The 21,998-nt window shown below is 35.1% G+C and overlaps 1 long non-coding RNA gene across 2 annotated transcripts in view; it reads left to right on the forward strand.

Moving 5' to 3' along the window:
• Positions 1-21,998, forward strand: part of POT1-AS1 (POT1 antisense RNA 1) — a 215,362-nt gene that overhangs the window by 151,284 nt on the left and 42,080 nt on the right. The window contains exon 5 of one of the 2 annotated variants that reach the window (NR_125719.1): positions 8,534-8,620. The exons of the other annotated variant lie outside the window; for it this stretch is intronic. This is a non-coding gene — a long non-coding RNA (POT1 antisense RNA 1). The remainder of the gene's footprint in view (positions 1-8,533; positions 8,621-21,998) is intronic. 2 annotated transcript variants of the gene reach the window in all.

Consider the following 21,998-nt stretch of genomic DNA (forward strand, 5'->3'; position numbering starts at 1 on the left):
ATGCCTGGCTAATTTTGTTGTATTTGGTAGAGACGGGGTTTCACCATGCTGGTCAGGCTGGTCTCAAACTCCTGACCTCAGGTAATCCACCTGTCTTGGCCTCCCAAAGTGCTGAGATTATGGGCGTGCACCACCACCCCTGGCCTATATCTGAACTTTTATTGCTGTTTTTGTCAGAAAGTCTTTGCTGAACTTTTGGGGTACTCATATTTTAGGGATCTGTACTATTTTAACTAGTAAACACCACCAAGAATCTCATGTGTCAGGATTACATTATCCTTCCTCTGCGTTCTTAGACAGGTCGACATGGCCTACTGGTGATTTTTGAAGAGATCTTCTATTTGGCAAAAAACTACATATGTCCAATACTGTTAAAACAGAGTGTAAAAAAATGTAATCCCTGCACTTTGGGAGGCTGAGGAGGGTGGATCACTAGGTCAGCAGCTCGAGACCAGCCAGACCAACATGGTGAAACCCCGTCTCTACTAAAAATACAAAAAAAAATTAGCTAGGCGTGGTAGCGGGCACCTGTAATCTCAGTAACTTGGGAGGCTGAGGCAGGAAAATAGCTTGAAACCGGAAGGCAGAGATTGCAGTGAGCCGAGATTGTGCCACTGTACTCTAGCCTGGGCAATAAGAGCAAAACTCCATCTCAAAAAAAAAAAAAAGTGATACAGCTTGGAGAACTGGAGGATCAACTCTTTGAAAATTGGCCTACAGACATTTTTCTCATGCAAAAACCAAAACTATTAACATTTAGAAAACAGCATTTAGTTGAATTAAGAAAAGAAAATTATGAAAGAATATGTAGAGATATTTATTTTAAAGAAACTAGAATGGATGTTTACTGTTTCTAGTGGTTCATATGTTTTATATCATTTACTACTAATGCTTTTTTTAGTCTATTAATTTGGATAACAGACTTAAATACCTGAGGTTTAATAATGAATTTCCTATGGGTTCAAAATATTTCATTCTAGGCAGTTACTTGCTCAGTATTTCACAGCGAAAGAAAGACAGCTTTAAGTGCTCATGCGTCCTAAGCAATGTCTCCAGCTTCTATCTCCTCCTGAGGCCCCAGATTTTCAGTGATCACTTCCACTTGGCCATTAGGTGGAGAACAAAAACTCAGTAAATTAATAATGGAGCTAATCATTTTGAATCTACTCTTACAGTTTTGTGTATTTCCCATCTCACAAAATATATACTTTGTTTTTTCCTCCTTCTCACCACCATATTAAACAATAACCTTTTTGATTCTGCCTCCTCATTATCTCTCAGATACAGTCAGTAGCCATACTGCCTCTATTTTTTTTCTTACTCCAAGATTGTAGCAACATATCCCTACTTTCTTTTCCTGCCATTAATTTGCAATCTTCCAGTTTGTCAAAGTAATTTTGTGAAACGTCAATCTGAACCCGATATGATGTGCTTACAACGCTTCAATGGCTCTCTGTTGCCCCCGTTATGACAACAAAACACCTTAGCACAGGACACAAAGCCATTGGTGATCTAGCCTTTGCTTACTCTCTACTCTCACTAATTTCATACATAGCTCAGCAGAAGTCATTAGGAGGATGGTTTATGTTACTGTGATGCTGTCTCCTCGACCTTATATGGAAGATAGCTTTACACTGAGTGTCTAAGGTAGCCAGTGTTCCAGTTATTAAGAAAAAATAGGAGGTACCTAAACATCTCAGTCAAAATTTGAGGGTGAGATACCTTTGCCTAGTGGTATTCCATTGTGTAATAAAGAATTCTTTAGCATTAAAGGACATTTGCAGGCACTCATGGTAGTGAATATTTGAGTTGCTTCATTTAGCAATTATGAAAAAGCTGTTATGAACATTCTGTTGATTTTCAGTAGGTTGAAGTTTTTATTTTTCTCAGGAAATACCTAGGACTGGGAGTGCTGGGTAATAGTATAAACCTAACGTTTAACTTTGTAAGAAATTGACAGTCCTTTCCCAAGGTAGTTTACACCCCTTCCAGGAATTTATGAGTTCTAATGACTGTATCTTTTCCAATTTTTGTTGTTATGTTATTTTAATTTTAGGGCTGTTGGACATTATTTATTAATATCTTATTGTAGTTTTAATTTGTATTTCTCTAAAGACTGATTGAGCACCTTTTCATGGCTTTTTGGCAATCATATTTCCTCTTTAAGTGTCTGTTCCAGCCTTTTTCCTATTTTTTATGGAGTAGATTGCTTTTATATTGCCAAGTGGTAGGATCTATCTATCTATCATCTATCTAAAGTGAATGTGTTTGTCAGTTAGATGTTTTGCACATATTTCTCCCAGTCTGTGGTTTGCCTATCTATTGTCTTCATTGTGTCTTTTTCGATGAACATACATTTTTAATTTTAATGAAGTACAATTTAGCATTTTAAAAAATTTATGCCTTTGCTTTCTGTGTCCAGTCTAAGAAATCAAGATTTAATGGTAAGCCATAAATGTATTCTGTGTTTTCCTCAAGAAGCTTTAGGGCTTTAGCTTTAAAATTTAGGTTTATGATCCATCTCAAGATAATTTTTATATGTGATATAAAATAGTGGTTGAGTCTCACCTTTTTTCCACATGAATATTCAATTATCTCAGAACCGTTTGCTGAAAAGACTTTCCCAATTCAATTACTTTGGGACCTCTATTGAAAATCAATTGAATGAGATTTCTGCTTCTGCCTGGCACGTAGAAAAATGGAAAGAGTGCCCTGTCCATTCTAACAACTATAAGTAGCTAAATAAACCAAAAAATCTTAACTTTTTGAGCCTATCAAAGAGCTGAAGTAGCAGGACAATCAAGTAACATGAAATAAAGGTGGAAATGACCCCTCCAGGGATAATGGCATATACAGAGTGGCTTATGTGTGGCTGAGTGTGGGAGAAAGAATGGCTACCAGGTAAGTGGTAAGAATCAGTTAAAAATTTAACATATTATTTGAGGCCAAGTGTGGGCTGGAATGTCAGATCATAATTTGTCACAGATATCTGTTGCTAGGTCTCATGAAATTTCACCCAGAGCATACACAACTTAGTATATAGTTAAATAGTGAGAGAACCCTATGCAAAATTTCTGCACCTCCTTTTTTCTATTCTGCAGACTCTAGCCAACTTAGTGGCTCAGAACTGTAGTCCTTGTTTCCCCAGCTAAGCAGAATCCTTGTGCTCTGTTTGGGTTTCACCTCTCTGCACTGCAGTCTAGAAAGTGTTTCCAGGAAGAGTGATTGTTAGGCTTACTTACGTATTTTCCTATCTGTACTCCTGTTCCCTGTATGCTGTCCTCTGAAAAGAATTGCCTTATATATTTCATAGTTTTACAGTTGTTTTTGGCCAGAGGACTAGTCTGGCACCAGTTACACTTTCATGGCCAGAGAATGTTCTTTTCAAGATCTTCTGCTTGTTAGTAAAAAAAGAACACAGATGCACAAACATTCAAACACACAATACAAACACAGAGAAAAAGTTTTTTAAAAGTGAGTTGATTAAGTAAATTTCAATATTTTCTTAATAAACCACATCAAAGATGGATTCTGAATTTGAGAACTTTCTCTTTAACAATGGTTTCATTTTTATATATTTAACTTCGCTTTATCTCTTTATACTACATATTCTCTGCCTTATGGCCTTACTTTTCCTTTTCTCTTGATAAAGTATTTTAAAATGCATAGCAATAGCCAATGAGAGAGACGACTAGTCCAGGGTCCATCTCCCAGAGTGTAATGGACCCCAGTTTATATAAGCAATTTGAGTAAAAATCTGTTGCATAATTCACAGGCTTTTTGCGAGGTATAGTGATTTTCTGATGATAATTTATAATTATGGGTGGAGAAATATTTAGATATTTCTTTATTGTTCAATCAGTGAACAAGAAATTTTTTTGAAGTGTCCAGGCACCATCTCTTCCTGTTCAGGTCCAGAAATAATCCTTTTTGGTTTTTATTTTCAAAAGTACTATTCATGCCCAATTTAATTTCTGTTACTATCCCATGATAAGATAGTTAACAATGCTTTTCTATCTCACAATGCTATGGCTCTTTGAAATGTACTTGTATTGAAATAATATAGGCCTTTTTTGCTTCTGTAGTTAGTTTGTTATTTCTATTCATGTAAGGCTGATTACTCAGTAATAATGATGCTCTATTATGTATTGTGCTGCCCATAGACACTGGCTTCCAATGATTCCCTCAAAGACTGTTGCTGTGTTCAATTCATAATGACCACAATTGCCAGTCTTACCCAGAGTATGCAGGGAAATCTGAATAATAATTGATTTTCACATTAAATTATTATTGAAAATTTTCTAGTATAATTGTAGAGCAATGCAACCTTCAAACATGTATTCTTTTGGCTGTAATCATTATGTTCACTACATTTCTAGAAGGTGATCTTTCAATGTGGACTGGACCTCCGCCTTCCACATATGGCATCCAGTGGGTTAGGTAGGCAAGAGGGAGGGAGAAAGAGTAGTACCATTAGTTCAAGGAATATCCATGTGTGTCTGGCATAGTCTAAGACTGACCCAGGAGCTTATAAGCTATGACATTTATCAGGAAAAGAAAGAACCAAAGAAAGATTGATGTTATGTGCATGAGTCTCTAAAGCTTTTGCAGAAGGCAGTGCTTGAAATGTGGCACAAAGCCTGCTACTAAAGGGCTAGCGTGATCTCCTTGAGTGTTAGCAGAAAGCGGATGTATGGTAAAAGTCATCTGCTACCCTCCAGGCACCACTGGACTAGAGGTGACACTATGGTTGGAACAAGGGCGAGAGCTAATGAATGAGTCCACATATGTCACATGCGTGACTTGAGCCCAAGGCTCAATGATGGTCCATCAGCAGCCCAGAGCCTTTAACTCATCTTATCTCCAATGTGAGTGAGAATCACCCAAATTAATGTGCCCACACCATTATGGTAGATCAATTCTATGAGATCCCATGGAATAAATACCTTACCAAACAGCTGGAACAATTTTTTTGCTAGGCTGTCTTTACAGGTCTGAGGCTCAACCATGATATCCAGAAAGACCACATAGGTTGAGTGAGTCCTAGAGCTTCTCGGGGCATCCAGTTGAGTCTATGTACTGAATAGAGGGTCGCAAAATGTCCCAAGTAAAAAATCAGGGGCTAGGATTTATGTCTATGCTCAGTCTGGACTACACTTAGATGGCACTGGTGGCCCCAAACCATGCCAGGCATAGGAGAGGGACTTAGAAAATTTTGAGGAAGGTACTTGGAAGCATGCATTTCTTGAGGTGTGGGGCCTAAGGCAGAGATCTAATGTTCAGATATAAAGGCAGTACTGAGGCAGACCTGAGTTAAAATGCCTAGAACATCCAAACTTTCAAAGTGGTTTAATGAAATAATTTTTTAAGTGGAGATAATCCAAGTTGATCTAATTAAGAATGAATTGTATTCTTTTTAGTTTCAGTGTGACTGTATTTTAAGTACTCATAATAATTTAAGAATTAATAAAGCTCTATATATGCACATATGAACTGATCCTTTTACTTGAAACTTCATAAATTAGTGATGTCTCCTGAATAAACAAAAGAAAGAACACTAAGGAATATTATATGTGAGAAAATGGTTTTCTTCCATGATATTATCCACAAAAGTTGTATAGCATAAAGCAGTGCATTAATTTATTTGTCCTAAATTAATTCTCTTGAGTTTGAAGAAATAGGAAAGAAGGGCTAGTATTCCTGAATTTGTGCAACAGATATGGGATTACACTATCCCTGCGCTCTATATGTTCAGAAGTTTCAAGGAGCCGCAGTTTTCTGGAACTATTCACAACTCTGTACAGCATGTCTGTATATTTCTATATTCTGGCAAAATTGTTTTTTAAAGTTAATAAGATAATTTTACAAAACCCTTGATTTCTAACCTTTCTGAATGTTAGAGATTGCATATTGCTAAGAATAAAAAAATTATCATAATTTTTATCCTTGGCTAGAATATAAAATTTTTCTCTTTCAAGGTCTTTTAATTTTAGAAAGATGGAAAAGCCTGAAATCTTTAGTTAGCTTTGAACTACAAGGATTCTTGGGTTTGTAGCTACCATTTAAATAACGTGAAATCACATAAATCCTGCATCTATGTGGAGGATAAATAAATAAACTGGCAAAGGTAAAAAAAAAATCAGCGAATCTAATTAAATACTATTCACAGAAACCAAACCAAACTAGCAAAAAAACCTACAAGAATATATATAGACACCAGTAGATATTTGAAATAAATTAAACTTCTCCAACCCTGCACGTAAGGAATAAATTGAGTGAAATTGATGGTGTATTTGGCCATAGATTAAGATGAACTGAAATTTTTAAAGTTCAAAATTCCTCAGTCTAAATGAGTTTGATGCTTGTCAGAAGTCATTAAGAAAATCCAACTAATTCTAGTGATCTCTTAAACCTTAAAAACATTACAGCTGTACCCACTGTCCCTGAAATATGAAATATACATTTCTATATAAAGTACAAGCAAATAATTTACAATGATTATGAATTAGAAAATGCAAGAAACTTTTCAAGTAAGAGATCTGACTCATTAAATTATTCCTGAGCTCAAGTGGAGCAAGACTCCTGGATCTATACATATTGGTTATGTACCCCAGAAACCTGAAATGTTTTTTAAAGTTACCTCACACCTTTTAATCTAATTATCTCAATTCCATTTCTCATACATACATTTCTTATGCTTCCATAGGAATTTTAGGAAATATTGAGGATCCGGGAGTCTTATAAACCATGATTTCTCAACCTTAGTGCTACTGATATTCAGTGCTGGATAAGTCTTTGTTGGGGGGCTGTCCTGTGCATTGTAGAATGATTAACAGTGTTCCTAGTTTCTACTCACTAGATGGTAATAGTGCCCTGACCTTCTTCCCCTCATTATGACAACCAAAAATGTCAGGAAACATTGCCAAATATCCCCTAGGAGGCAAAATTCCTCCTGGTTGCGAATAAATGCTATGCATTACAATTATACAGGATTTAGCTTCATTGTTGACAAGGAGCAACTGCAGAATTTTTCTGCTTCCCCAGAAAGTCAAATACTTTAATATATGGGAAGAACAAAGAAAGATATAATTGTACACATTCCACTGATTATATCCATAATGCATAGAAGTAAAAAGCTTAAGACTGACTGCAGCACACAAATATGTATCATTTAATCCAAGTATCATCCTGCACACTGCAGTTGTTTGTTTCTTACTAAGTTTGAATTAGTTGCCAGCATTTACAATTAGACTATTTCACTGAAAAACCAACCAATTACTGAAATAATTATGACTTCTCTTGAAAATTAAGTTCTAGCAAAATTGTGCCCCAATTCTCAAAAGAATAACTCACTAGATGTTGCCTTCTTTAGACAGGACATGTGTTCTCTGTTTTATCACACCTGACCTATTTTTAAAATTTGCATTACATTACCTACATAGTCTTATGATGACTTGAATTTAAAACTTCAATAAGTCAGAAAATTTAATGTTGAATCAAAAGCTCAATTAACTTTAAGGAATACAGTCTAAGCTCTAAAAATAAAGAAGAAAAAGAAGAGTATTAGTGGAGAGGAGCAATTGGTATGAGGAAGAGAAAGAATGATTCATTATTTTCTGCAATCCAGTGGAACTGGGTGTTACATGTTGCTATAGATTTTAGCAATTAATTCACTTGTGATAAAATTCTTCGAACTTTTCAAAAAGAGTTTTGAATTTGAATGAGTACAATAACAGACAATATAAAAATAGTATTATCTGTCTTTCTTCTATCTTGAGTTAATTTTTGTATAAAGAAGGGGTCCAGTTTTAATTTTTGGCATATGGCTAGCCAGTTATCCCAGCACCATTTATTGAATAGGGAATCGTTTCCCCATTGTTTTTGTCAGGTTTGTGGAAGATCAGATAGTTGTAGGTGTGCGGTCCTATTTTGGGGTTCTCTATTCTGTTCCAATGGTTTATGTGTCTGTTCTTATATCAGTACCATGCTATTTTGGTTACTGTAGTGCTTAACAAACTAATGCAAGAACAGAAAACCAAATACCACATGTTCTCACTTATAAGTGGTAGCTAAATGATGAGAACACACACACACAGAGGGAAACAACACACATTAGGGCCTTTCCGAAGGTGGAGGGTGGGAGGAGGGAAAGGATCAGAAAAAAAAATAATGGGTACTAGGCTTAATACCTGAATGATTAAATAATCTGTGCAACAAACCCCCATGACACACGTTTACTCATGTAACAAGCCTGCACATGTACCCCTGAACTTAAAAATTAACAAAAATAAAAATAGCATTATCTGGATTCATTCATAGTATTGAAAAGATCAGATGAATCAAGTTGTGGCCCAGAGACACATTCAAGTAAGTAGAACGATGGGTCAATCTTCATGGCACCTTAGGAATATGCATTATTCTCTGAAAATGTATAGGGATGCTTATATTAGGAATGTATATTCTCTAGCTAGTAATAAATACAGTACAAATTACCATGAACAATAAGTCATCTCCTTTTGTTATTTTATTTTAGATTCCAGTTGTGAAAAAAAATTGTGCCTAAAGAATATAGTCCCTTTATAGAATTGTTTTGAAACCTACCACAGGTATTTCTACACAGGTAGGTATAAAGTTGTACCTTGGGGGCTATGGAGTATAGTTTGGTTTCATTAGTTCCATTTTTTATTAGTACTACCCTGGAAAAATGCCTTCCAAATTACCATAAGCAGAGATCTTTTAGAGACTCAAATTGACACAGGGTGATTGTTCCAAATAAGCATAAATGTAGTATTTAGAGAAAAATTTTAAATATAATTCTTTATGGATACAAGAATTCTGGGAAAATGATTCCATGTCTTTGAGAGGCGATTCTGTTGCAACTTTTCAAATAAATATAAATTCTTATCTATAAAATACATATTAGTCGCTGGATGCGTTTTACTTTTACTTAGCACACGCTGTTTGGAATAATTTTTAAAATACTTTATTTGCATGTAGTTATAAAATGTAAGCAAATAAAATATATATTAAAATATTTCAAAATATTAATATTTAAAAATAATTGAAAGCAGAAGTAGTCCAGTAATAGTTGGTAAATCACCAGTTCATTGTAAGTGAAAAAATATTTAAAGTAAGAACACTGTTTACCATCCATAAGAGTTTTTGCTTTATTTGTCTTAAAAATCAGAGATATTGGGAGTAACCCATAAAACTTTTAGTCAGAAGAAAGAAATATTACAGTTCCTTTTTGGAGTCAAATAAGACACTGCAGTAAGAATCAATGTTTCAATAATTTTTAATGTATGCAGATTTTATAGATAACCCAGAAAAATAATATTATCATTTAGAGTAGTTCTATAATACTTATAATTTATAGTAGAATGAAGGCTCTGTATTTTTTTTATTAGAAGTTTTAGTTATGAGAGACCTCATACATAGAAAAAAGGCATAGTATTCTAATCTGGTACTTTCGTTTTTCCCCTCCAATATGTTAGTATTAGTTGACAGTAGATTCTCCCTAGCTAATGTTAACTTAAATATAAATAAATAAGGGGTTTTTTTTTAATTTAGCAATAACTTGAAGGTAGTCCGCAGGTGGCCTTAGCTTGGTTCATTGGTGTCTGGGCTGTTAATTTCTTTGGATGGTGATTAATCACTCAGGCATTTAAGGCGTAACAAAAAGGAAAATACAGTGCTAGTCACATTTCTTCCTTTTTATTAAGAATGTAAAAGGCTTTTTAGTTTTCCTCTTGTGTCCCATAAGCACCATGTCACATGATGTTCCTGGCCACAAAGGACATTAGAAAGTTGAATATTTGTATTTATCAACTTTTACAGTAATAGGCAAACAGGGAGTTTGGGAAGAAGTATTGACCACAATCTATGCCTAAATAATAATTTAGTTTAATTTGATTATGAAATGATATATCATATAAATGGAATTGAAGATTAAATGTTTTTAAGAACTTAGTTTTCTCTAGTTTACTACAATCACAATTCTAGCAGGGTTTGTCTGGGGGAAATTGACAAGTTATTTCTAATGTTTTCACGGAAAATCAAAGGCCATGAATAACCAAGGCACCCTTGAGCAAGAACAAAGCTGGAAGATTTATATACCAGATATAAGATTTATTATTTGATAATAGTAGTTAAGACTAAAGTATTAACAGAAGGATAGACAAATTGAGCAATGGAGTAGAATAACTGTTTCAGAAATCACATGTATAAGATCGTTCGATTTATAACAAAGTTGACATGGCAGTGCAGAGGGAAAAGAGTGGTCATTTTCATACATGGTGCTGGGTTAGTTAAAGGTCTAGGTAGAAATAAAAATAAGTGGCAATTCCCTACCTATACCATACAAAGCAAATCATTTCAGGGTGGACTGTAGGTTTAACAGGAAATAGAAAACAATAAAGCTTTCAGAAACTATTAGAATCTCTCTCTCTTTCTTGATTTCTCTTCAAATTTCTTTCTATCTCTCTGCCTCTCGTCTTTATGGAGTACCTGAAAATTGTCCCTAACCATTTTGTTAGGAGAAACTAGATTTAGATCCTTGGAAGTTGTATAATTAATTGCTTGTGTTATGAGAGTTGGGTAGGTCTGAGAGGAATGAGAGTATGAAGTGAGTCTCTAAAATCAGCCTATTGATTGCATGTAGGGAAGTTGCCATCCACCTCCCTGCTTTTACTCCCATTCCATGGTTAAGGAATTATACAGAAGGAGATTTTGTAGTACTTGTGCAGCATCAGTTGGTAACAGATGTCTGAAGCAGTCATTTGTTTAAATAATCCAAGCTTTTATGACCGACAGCTTAATTTAAGCAATGTGTTGAAAATAACGTTTATTTCTGGCCACTGCTTTTCGTGGTCAGGATACAAATGTATGGATTTTTCAAGTGCCTGTTTTTCCAGAGATTTTCTTAAGCAAATACCATGAATTTTCCCATAGAATAAATACTTGAAGTTTAAACGGGTAAATAATGAAATCTTCGTCCCTCAAAGAGGGATTCTAGGAAAAAGTGCAAGATGGAAAATGTTGGGTGTTGTTTCAGGTGACAAGGCTAAACTGCTATGATTTTAGGGACAGGGAGAAATTCCTTCTGGGCTGAGGGATCAGAAGTGATTTTGTGGAGAACTGACATTTTAATAGGAATAGGTAGTCAGAATTTAGAACTACAGAGATGTAGTTTGAGGCATTCCTGGGCAGTGAAAAGACCATGAGCCGAGTGATACAGGTATGAAATCAATATATTCCAGTCATCAAATATAATGTAAATAATCAGTAAGCTGATTAAAATGATTATAGGGAAAACCCATAGCTTACAGTAACAAAATTACACAAATAAATGGGAATGAATTTAATAAAGAGGAAGGGTTTAAACTATCTACAACCAAATGCCAACCTGGAATTTCTGTGATTAAACTGCTGAAAAAAAGTACAGGTTTGCACCATTCACGATTGTTAAAACATGATAAACTATTTATAAATCATTCTCTCAACACCATGCCTGTTAAATAGAATCCTCAATACAAAAATTCCATACCTAAAATAAATATCACAATGAAAATTACACATAATCTTGTATAGTACATGTGTTTAAATTAGTGTGACTATGAACTGTAGTTTCTCTGATAAGAAATCATCCAGAAATGCTCAAAGTTAAAGTAGGTTGCTTGGGACAAATAGGCATTTTATATTGTCTGACACTCATCCCTGCAGTAATTTAATTTTATCTTATATGAAGTAGGTCATTTTGTACAGATATAAACTTTCTGTTGTGTACTGTTCTCCCTTGACACCCATGTTATATTGACATTGTAATTTTTTCTGTAGTTCTTAGCAGTTTTTATGCCACCTCAACTTGTAAAATCACGAGGTTTTACCCATATTACAAATAAGTAATAGCAATGATTACCTAGTTACCTAAACTTGTCTATTTTTAATACCCACAGGTATAAAAAGAAATTTTTCTTTCTGTATTTCATTCAGAAGCATGTTATATGGACACATTTATTTATACCTAGCATTATATGAATCTTGTTTTCTGTAAAGCTTTATGAAGTAGGTCAAACAGGAAAGTAAACTTGCTAAGTATGAAGATAATATATATTGGTTTAGCAAAGACTGAATAATATGGAACCTCATCTATCTCATTGCTAACTTATTTTTTTTTACTTTTAGCTTTTCCCATCATTGTTAGATAAACACAACTAGGATAGAAAAATTCTGATGTTGACATCTTATAACCAGGCCAGATAGATGCAGTTTATTAGAACTATGTGGAAAAATAGAATAGGTTGGTCAGAACTTATCTTGGAGGCAGAGTCTGGCATAGACGAAGATGTCATTTGGAGTTTAGGATTTCGCACACTGTCCTCTTGGTCCTTCTATTCTTTTTGAGAAGCCATTAATAGGCCAGAAGATAGATATAATTAGAAAATTAGAATTGGATGAGCACAGCATGTAAAAAGAATTTTGTGTATATAGGAGTAAGACACATCCAAATTCCTGAAACTGTTGTATTCTTGAGTAGCTTTTTGTTTTGCTTTGGTTCAATAATTTTCTTTTTTCTTTGCATATTTTTAGTGTACATTTCACTTACTCATCTTTAAACTCTTTCTGAGAACAATAAATTTATTTCAAATATATTTTAACTTTGAGAATATATCTTTGGAACCCCTCTTTCTCATCATTCTGGGATTTCGTTTGTCTCTCCATGAGGCATCCTTGGTGTTCTGGATCTTTTCTTGATTTACTTCTTTATTTTATTAAAATATATCCTTTAGAAGCTTCCTGTTAAATGATACAAGGGAGATTAATCTTTTGAGAACTTGAGAATTGCATATTTAAAAATGTACATATTCTACCTTCATGTGAGATTGAGAGTACAGTTCAGTATGGAATTCCAAGTTGAAAATTGAGAATATGGTGACTGAAAGCATGCTACGTTGGCTCCATTGTCTTTTTTCTAGTGTGACTGTGGAGGAATCCAATGACATTTCTTCCCTAAACTTTTGTAACAGCATTCCTTGTCATGAATCTTTTCTCATCTCTCTTACTGAACACTTGGTGAGTATTCTAAGGAGAAATCTCATATCCTTCAGATATCCCTCTAGAATGTTTTGAAATTATTTTCTTTATAATATACTCTTCTTATTTTTTTCTGAAACTGTACTTATTCAGCTATGGCACATGCTGAATTGGATCCAATTGCCATTCTACTTGCATTTTTCTTTTTCTCTCATTTATCAAAGATTTTCCTCAACCGTATCTCAGCTGCAACTCTTGAATATTATTTTTCTCCAATCATTATTTTCTCCAATCATTATAAGAAAAGTCAGGAATACTGTACTTTTCTTACCAAACTAAGTAGACAGTGACTTCGAAAATATTTAACAATTTATTAGTTAGAATAGTTTGTCTTAGGTGAGTTTCCCTACAAGCAGAGTTTGAGGAGGGATTTTCATTCAAGGTGCTTATGGAGGGTGCACTCTCTGGAGAAAGAGAATGAAGGAAGTATCCTAGGTCAGGAGGAGCTAAGCAAGGTTGCCCTTTGTTGAAGTCCAGCTTCAGTCTGATCCCCTGAGAAGCTTTCGATAGGAATTATGCATGAACATGGTTTCCATCTTGAGGCAAGTGGGCCTATCAATTAGTCAATAGTTAATGTGGAAGAAGGTCAGAGGGAATGTACAACTAAGGCCATTTCCTGAATAAAGAAAATCTGTAGTTAGCAGCCAACATTCACAGTGGCAGTGGTATGCATAGGCCTGCCTGATCAAGGAGATCTGCATGGGGCAACAACAACATCTATTACATGTCTTTACCATTTGAAAGCATTGAATATATTCATCAGGCACACCTAACAGCAAACTGTTTTATATGGCTTATCAGATAGCTTGATACAAATGAAGGTGTTACATTTCATCTCGAGTTTGATTTTGCAAAAACTTTAGTAAGGAAGATGGTCTTCAGTCTTAATAAAAGCAAAATTAAAATATTTAGTATACTATATGCAGTGTATCTACATAATTCGGCAAACTGTAACTTATACTCTTTTAGATCTTGCTAAGGAGTCTGGATATAGGGAAAATGGCTGAGTCTTCAAAAACTTTTTTTTAAACAAAATTCAATTTATTTGTTGGTTTGCTCAAAAGTGATTTTTTGGTTTGATCATTTTGCTTTGAACTTACTAGTTGTTTATGCTTGACTACCAGGCATATTGCAACTCAGAAGTGGATAATAATCCAAGATCAGAATAAGTGACTCAAACACAGCAGCCAAGATGCTACCCAAAGGGAGTAGCCATTAAGCCTTTCATTTACCCTCAGATATTTATAAAGCATTATGACTGTCCTAAGTACTGGAGATTCAGATGTAAAATACATAGTCCTGATTTCAAGAAGTTTATTAGAGTATATGTGTGTGGAGGGGTGAGGAGATGCCAGTTAACAAGCATAATTGAATAGTGTAAGTGCTGTCATGTGTGCTATAGACCTACAGAGTGTCAGCAGCTCACCCAAAATGTGAGTAGGAAGTTAGAAAACACAGCAATAAAAAATTAACCTCGATTTTGAGTTTTAAAGCATGTGTATAATTTTATCAAGTGAAATTGTAGTCTTGGGCAATGGGTGTTATACTGGACCAACAGGAATCACTAAAGAATTTTGAGCAGGAGAATGTCATGGTAATATTTCTACTTTAGAAATAAAAGGTATTTTCTTAATTTAATCTATGTACATTAAAAGGAAATTCTAGGAACATGGTGTCTGAACTCAGATCTGTGAAGTCCTCTCTTTTAAACCCTTCTTGGAGAAAGACCATAGCCATGATGGAGCGGGAAAATTGATGTTAACTGGTATTAAGTAACTTTACTAGGTACCCTTAGTTGTGGTTTTCTTTATTACTAGCCTGTTTGGGTTCCTAGGGCTTCTCTAATTGGTGTCTTAGTCAGTTTGCACTGGTATAACAGAATACCATAAACTGGGTAGCTTAAACAACAAACACTTATTTCTCACAGTTCTGGAGCTGCAAGTCCAAGATCAGGGTGACAGTATAATTAGGTTCTTGGTGAGGGCCCTCTTCCTGTTTTACAGACAACTCCTTTTTTGCTGTATTCTCAAACTGCAGAGAGAGAGAGAGAGAGAGAGCTCTGGTCTCTTTTCCTCTTCTTATGAGGATGCTAATCCATCATGAGGGCACCATCCTCATGATTTTGTTGAAGTTGATTACCTTCAAAGGCCCCTTCTCCAAATACCAATACATTGGGGGTTAGGGCTTCAACATATGAATTTGTTGGGGGACATAAGTATTCAGTCCAAAATAACTAGTTTTGAAAAGTTCTGTCATCATCTCTTCAAATATTTCTTCTACTCTTTTATATCTCCCTCCTCCTTCTGAATCTCCAGTTATATATATATTAGAACCTCTACCAATTTTCATGCTAATTTCTGTAATGCATTTCAAAAAATTACTTTAGATATTTTCCTTTGACCATTTTTACAACTAATATACTGCAGATTACTAAATTGTGGTGTAGTCACACAATTTAGTACTATCCAAAAATGAAATGAGTAAACAATAGCCATCACAGCCCTTATGTCAAGATTTTGAGATTTAACCCGAACTTACCCCATACAGTTGTTGTATGCACACAAAAATACATATAGTATAATTTCATGTGTATAAAGCTCAAGAATGAACAAAGTTAAAAACAGTAAATTTGTTTGATTATTCATAGGTGGTACAATGAAGAGAAATGAATAGAAATAATATGCATGGGGTGATGGGGGGTGCTGCTAAAGGGATATGATGGAGATGGGCACACAACTGGCTTGAAAGAAAGATCCATTCCTTAACCAGAGGAATATCGGTGTTGCTATGTAGGTGTTCATTATATTATTCTTATTGAAATGAACAGAAATAGTTTAAACATTATTTTGTCTATATGACATATTTTCTCCACACAATTAAAGAAAACAAAGAAACTGCGGGGCCAGTATGTTGGGTTTCTTGTGTGAAAGGTAGATAGAAATGAGTGAGCCCAGCTGTGCTAGAGGACTGTGAAGAGGAGGAAGAGAAGGAAACTTTCAGAAGGAATGAGTTACAAAGTACAGAGGCCTCATGTACAATGGTTTGCACAATGAAATAGAAAGTGAGAACACTGACTCCATCACTTGAGATGGGTAAAGAGGGAATAAATATCCTTTGAAAATGCTATGGAAACAGCCATGTCACTGGGGGTATGTTTTGAAAGCTTAAGTCAGTGGTATGAGCAGGCACAACATAGGAGGGTAATATTTTGGAAAACCATAGATGGGAGGTACAAACTAGTTGTGAAATGAGATAAACACGTTCAGTCCTGAAATCTTTGGCAGGAAAGTGTGCAATTGCCCTGTGTTTAGATTGAGGAAAGGCGTCTATTTCTGCCTATTATAGTCAGATCAAATAATAGAAAAAATGACCACAAAATGAGTGGTTCTGTCTGTGGGGAAGGATGAGTTTCGGGCCAGTTTCTAAACTGATGAGTTTAGCCCTTTGACTTGGGTATTTATTCCTCATGGTCCTAATGGCCTCATGGTGCTAGTGAGGACCTATTTCTGATAGTGGTGTTTTTCTTTGAATTTGTAATCAATGCACATACAATGACCTTAAATAATTTATGTTGGGAAGTTGGGGGCAAAGGGAGAGAGAGCATTAGGACAAATATCTCGGCATGTGGGGCTTAAAACCTAGATGATGGGTTGATAGGTGCAGCAAACAACCATGGCACATGTATACCTGTGTAACAAACCTGCACATTCAGCACATGTATCCCGGAACTTAAAGTAAAATAAAAATAAAAATAAAAAATTAATAATTTATGTTATCTCAGTTCTGATCTAAGCTATGTGGTCCTCTCTAAGCACATAGATGATTTGCATACTCTTTTGCCCTTTCATAGCTCTTTGTTTGAAAAAGGAGGTTGGGGGAGGTAGACCATTGATAAAAGTCTCTCCTACCTCTTTGCTTGGCTAAATCTTGCCCACCCTTCATTCGGGTTCTAGTTTATATGTGACTTCATGAGGGAAGTCAACCTTCATCTCTCATGTCTGATTTAGACACTCCTCTTGTGTCCTCTAGTATTCCGTCCTCTGTCAGAACACTAATCAAACTCAACTGTCATTGCTGGCTTAATGATATTTCAATGTTTAGTGAAAATCCTTTAGATAACTTAAAATATCCTTTTCCAGTAGCCATGAACTTTAGCAGCTCCAGGAAACATTGTTGTCAAATATTTTATTAATGCCCATCTTTGAACAATGCTGTATTAGGACAACTTTCTCATATACCACTTGAGAAGTTTTTCTTTTATGATTGACAGCTGAAGCCTGACAAGGGCCAGCCAACCAGTCAACACTGACTCATTTAGAGAACAACTTCATCTTAAACTGTTGAGAAGCAGAGGTGACAGCAATGTGTTTCCACACTATTAATATGTTAAGAGAAAGCGAGTAGGATTTTTACCCCAGCTAAGACAATAACACTAAAATACTGAAACTGTCAGGCTAAGCTAAGCAGGAATAGCCTGGGTCAGTATTTGGTGATGTCTCTGAGGAATACCTTCTGTAGAATAGCTATTTTAAGAAATAAATCAGTAACATGAGTATCTATGAGTCAGTTCTGCACTAGCTTTCTGGTTCAGAAAATGCCATACCAATGGAAATGGTGCCTTAACAATGATTCTTACTTTTGGTCTGTTATACTTGTGATTATTATTCCTCACAGGAGACTTGCCCATGCAGGGTAAATCATTTTCTGCAGTCCTAGAAGCTGGTGGATTCAAACTGAAACCTTTTAGGAGCAAGTGGTTTACAATTCAGTGAATAAGAGCAAAATTTATAATTCATCCTCTTCCTCCACTCTCCCAACACCTTATCAAGGTGTTCTAAAGTAGGAAGGCTGGGCAGGAAAGGCCACTGTCTCATGCCAGAAAGGTAGGGGTATCATATACAAATTATAAATGCCTAACAAATGCTGAGAAGGAACAAACTTCACTAAGCTGCATTTTTGATATCTTGGGGGAAAATAAAGTGGAAGTGAGCTTTCCTCCAAAAAGAGTGAACAGAGCAGTTTTAAAATAACCAAATACTTATTAAGACATCAAAAATGGTGGTATATGAACAAATGTGTCAAGTAGCAATTATTTTGTGTGAAGGGGGCAAAATATTATATGTAAGTGTTTAAAATTGTCATTCTCCTCATTCAGGAAGATTTCTGTATTTGTCTTCTTAACTCTTGAGTTTTGTTGTTGCTAATATTGGATGAAGAGGAGACAAAATGATTGGATCTAGAGGAGCACCGACAAGCAAATGGCAGGTAATGAAAGAGTCCTTTCAAGGAGGATGGAGAAATGTTGGCACATATTCTAAGCTGAAAAAGACTCCTCTGATGGATGTCAAGCAGAGAAGAGATTCTCTGCATGTTTGGAGCAGTGGGCAGGAGTGGAGGAGGAATACCTGCATAGACAGGGAAGTGTGAGAAAATATGCATGCCAGAAAGTAAGGGATGTAGCAATAGAGAGATTTGACAGCAGCTGCTCGAATGCATAGATAGTTTGAAAGACACACCATTAATAGCGTCACTGTAGACTGCAGTTAAGATGTCTTTTTAATGCATTTTGAATGTCAGATTGATGAGTTTCAGTTTGTGTGCTTGTTCATAAATCAACACTTTGCTGAGACTGGCTTAGAGGAAGTACACTTATATTCAGGGATGATATTCAAAACAACATATATGAACACAGACCAATAAGACAGTTGCCTGACCAATTAGGATGGAGGCCAGCCTTCATGCAAAATGGTGTGTAGCCACTCACAATGAGTCTTAAATTTCAGGTTACCATTGTGAGCTCTTAAAGAACAGTATTGTTCTTAGTTACTTTAAACAGAGTCAAACAAAATAATGAATGTTTTTATTATATATATCACATGATCCATATTATCATTTTTCACAATCATTAAAAATTTGAGGCCACAGAATTAAATGAAACTCCATTAAACCTTAGGGCTATAAAGCTATAGTAGGGTACTTCATATAATTGAGAAAAAAAATTAAAGAAGCTAGAGACACAGAAAGTAAGGCTTAAATATTTTAACCTTGATCTTGATTATTTTTCCAATATTAAAAAAAGCAAAAAAAATTTTAAAGTTATTAGAAATATAATCATTAGGCTAGTTCAATAGCAAATGAAGATTTACCAACTTTTGTTATTTTATATAAGTTCTATAGCCTTTAAATAAGGAGAAATTGCTTTAGATTTTGCTTAATATAAAGATTTAGAAGAAAATAATTTTCTCATTATTAGCCAATAACAAATCTGATAACTCTTAAAAGCTAAATCATTTGGAATAGAAACTTCTCATATGGTATTGCAATGGGTTTTCTAACACCGTAAAATGTAATATTAGTAAAATAAATTTTGAGATATAGTGATGGCCATCATGTTTTTCTGGAACAAATTTGCAAATTAATTTTATGGTAGAATAGGAGTAACTAATAAAGTAGTAAGAATCACTAAGAAATTTATGGTTATTTATAACACAATTTTGTACTATTTTCTTTCTTTCTTTTTTTTTTTTTTTTTTTTTTTTTGAGACATAGTTTTGCTCTGTTGCCCAGGCTGGAGTGCAATGGCACAATGTCGGCTCACTGTAACCTCCGCCTCCCAGGTTCAAACGATTCTCCTGCCTCAGCCTCCTGAATAGCTGGGACTACAGGCATGTGCCACCATGCCCTGTTAATTTTGTATTTTTAGTAGAGACGAGGTTTCCTCATGTTGGTCAGGCTGGTCTCAAACTCCTGACCTCAGATGATCTGCCTGCCTCGGCCTCCCAAAGTGTTGGGATTACAGGCATGAGCCACCATGCCCGGCCTGTACTATTTTCTTCAGAGACACTAGGTTCAGTGGATTGACATAGATGTTTTGGGCTTGTACTGTTTGCCGTGAATCTTACTAAAATTTAATTTATTTTAATAAGGAAATAGTGGTATTACAATTTACAACTTTTTTTGTAGAATGGTAGAAAAATATTTCTAAAAAATACTTTATGGCAAATTACAAATAAGGATGGGCTGTTTTAAAGGTAAAATATAATTGGAGGAAACCAATTTAATATTTTTTTCTAAAAAAAATTTTTTGTTTCTCTGTATTCATGTCTGAGCTCTAAAATTCTGTGGATATATAATTTGGCCCTAAGTTGTAACTAATTGATCATTGTAAAAGAGCGGAAAACAATGACAGGGAAATAACTTTAGACGCTTGCTAACATTTATATAGATTTGGTTATTTTGCCAAATTTCACAATTTGTTGTAATCTCAAGGAACACGTAACTGAAATTTGCACAAGCCACCACTGTATGATGTGTAGGTAAAGTGAACTGTTAGGTGTGGCAGAGAGAGCAATTCTCCACAATGCTGTCTTCAATAGGTTAAGGTAAACAACTCTGAAATCCACAAACACTGTAGCTATAAAAAGAAATTTCCTTATATAGCAAGAATATAAGACAACATTCAGTTCATTTTATGTTTCTACTTACCTTCTCTCATGTATATTTATATAATACTGTTTGGATGTTGTCCCCTCCAAATATGATGAAATGTGATCCCCAAAGTTAGAGGTGGGGCCTGGAGGAACATGTTGGGTCATGGGGGCGGATCCCTCCTGAATGGCTTGCTGCCCTTTTCATACCCACCTCTTGTTTGTTCCCTCTCTCTCCATGTGATGCACCTGCTTCCCCCTTCACCTTCTGTGGTGACTGGAAGATTCCTAGGCCCTCACCAGAGGCTGAGCAGATGTTGGTGCCATGCTTGTACAAGTCTACGGAACCATGAGCTAAAATAAACCTTTTTTCTTTAGAAATTACTCAGTCTCAGGTATTCCTTTACAGTAATGCATATGAACTAACACAATATATAAACAGCAATGAAAGACATTTTTGATTACATTACATTTTGATATTACATTATTGATTCTCTTCTAAGCCACAGTAAAGCTCTCACCCTATTAAATACTGTTAGTTACTTGCTGGCTCCAGACCTCAAGCGATATGTTGAAGTCCGGTCATACTTTTATTCTTATATTTAATTACTAATTTTTTTTTGATCAAGTCCAGGCATTAGGGGTAGCATAATGAAAATAATAGATCATTAACTTTCATTTCCATTGAAGACAGGTAATTTCTAAGAACAACATTGACCTTGACTAAAATTAATGCAGAATACAAGTCTGATGAGTATTACTTGCTCCATAAAGTAAGATTTTCAAGAGTCTTAACATTTCTAAATTCAATTCCCAGATTCTCTTCAATCTCAATATTAAATCAAATTCTAACTATAGACTAGGCATACTGGCTCACATCTGTGATCCTAGCACTTTAGGAGGCTGAGGTGGGAGGATTGTTTGAGTCCAGGAGTTTGAGACCAGCTTGGGAAACAAAGTCAGACCCCATCTCTATAAAACATTTTTTAAAATAAAAATAAATAAAAATAATTCTAATTTTAAACCAAACTCTAATAATTTTATGGTTTTATGAAATTAACAAAGTGGCAAGTCAACTCCTTGATCATCAATTCAAACTGAGATCTCTTGCCAAATTTATTTTATGGCTTGAAAATTTGGACCATTACTTGGATAGTTTTGGTGAGATGGGAACTCCTAGGATAGAGTCTGAACCCCCTAGATGGGTCATATGGAAAACTCAGTCTTCCCTTTCCCTCCTAGAATATTCTTCCTCCCTGTTAAAATTCGGCCTCATTTTCCTACTCAGTAACTTTCAAGGAGATGATTGAGTCCCATATATCTTTGGTTATAGACTTTGGTTATAGCTTTTGGTCCCAAATGAGGGGAAATGGCTCTAGTGCCTATGACTGTTTCCTGCCCCTATAAATAGGAAACAGCTATTAAAGAGAAGAAGACTTTGTTCTTCCTCTATCTTTTACATCTTTTTCTTTTTTATAA

This window comes from Homo sapiens, chromosome 7 (assembly GCF_000001405.40).
Source record: "Homo sapiens chromosome 7, GRCh38.p14 Primary Assembly".
Classification (NCBI taxonomy): domain Eukaryota; kingdom Metazoa; phylum Chordata; class Mammalia; order Primates; family Hominidae; genus Homo; species Homo sapiens.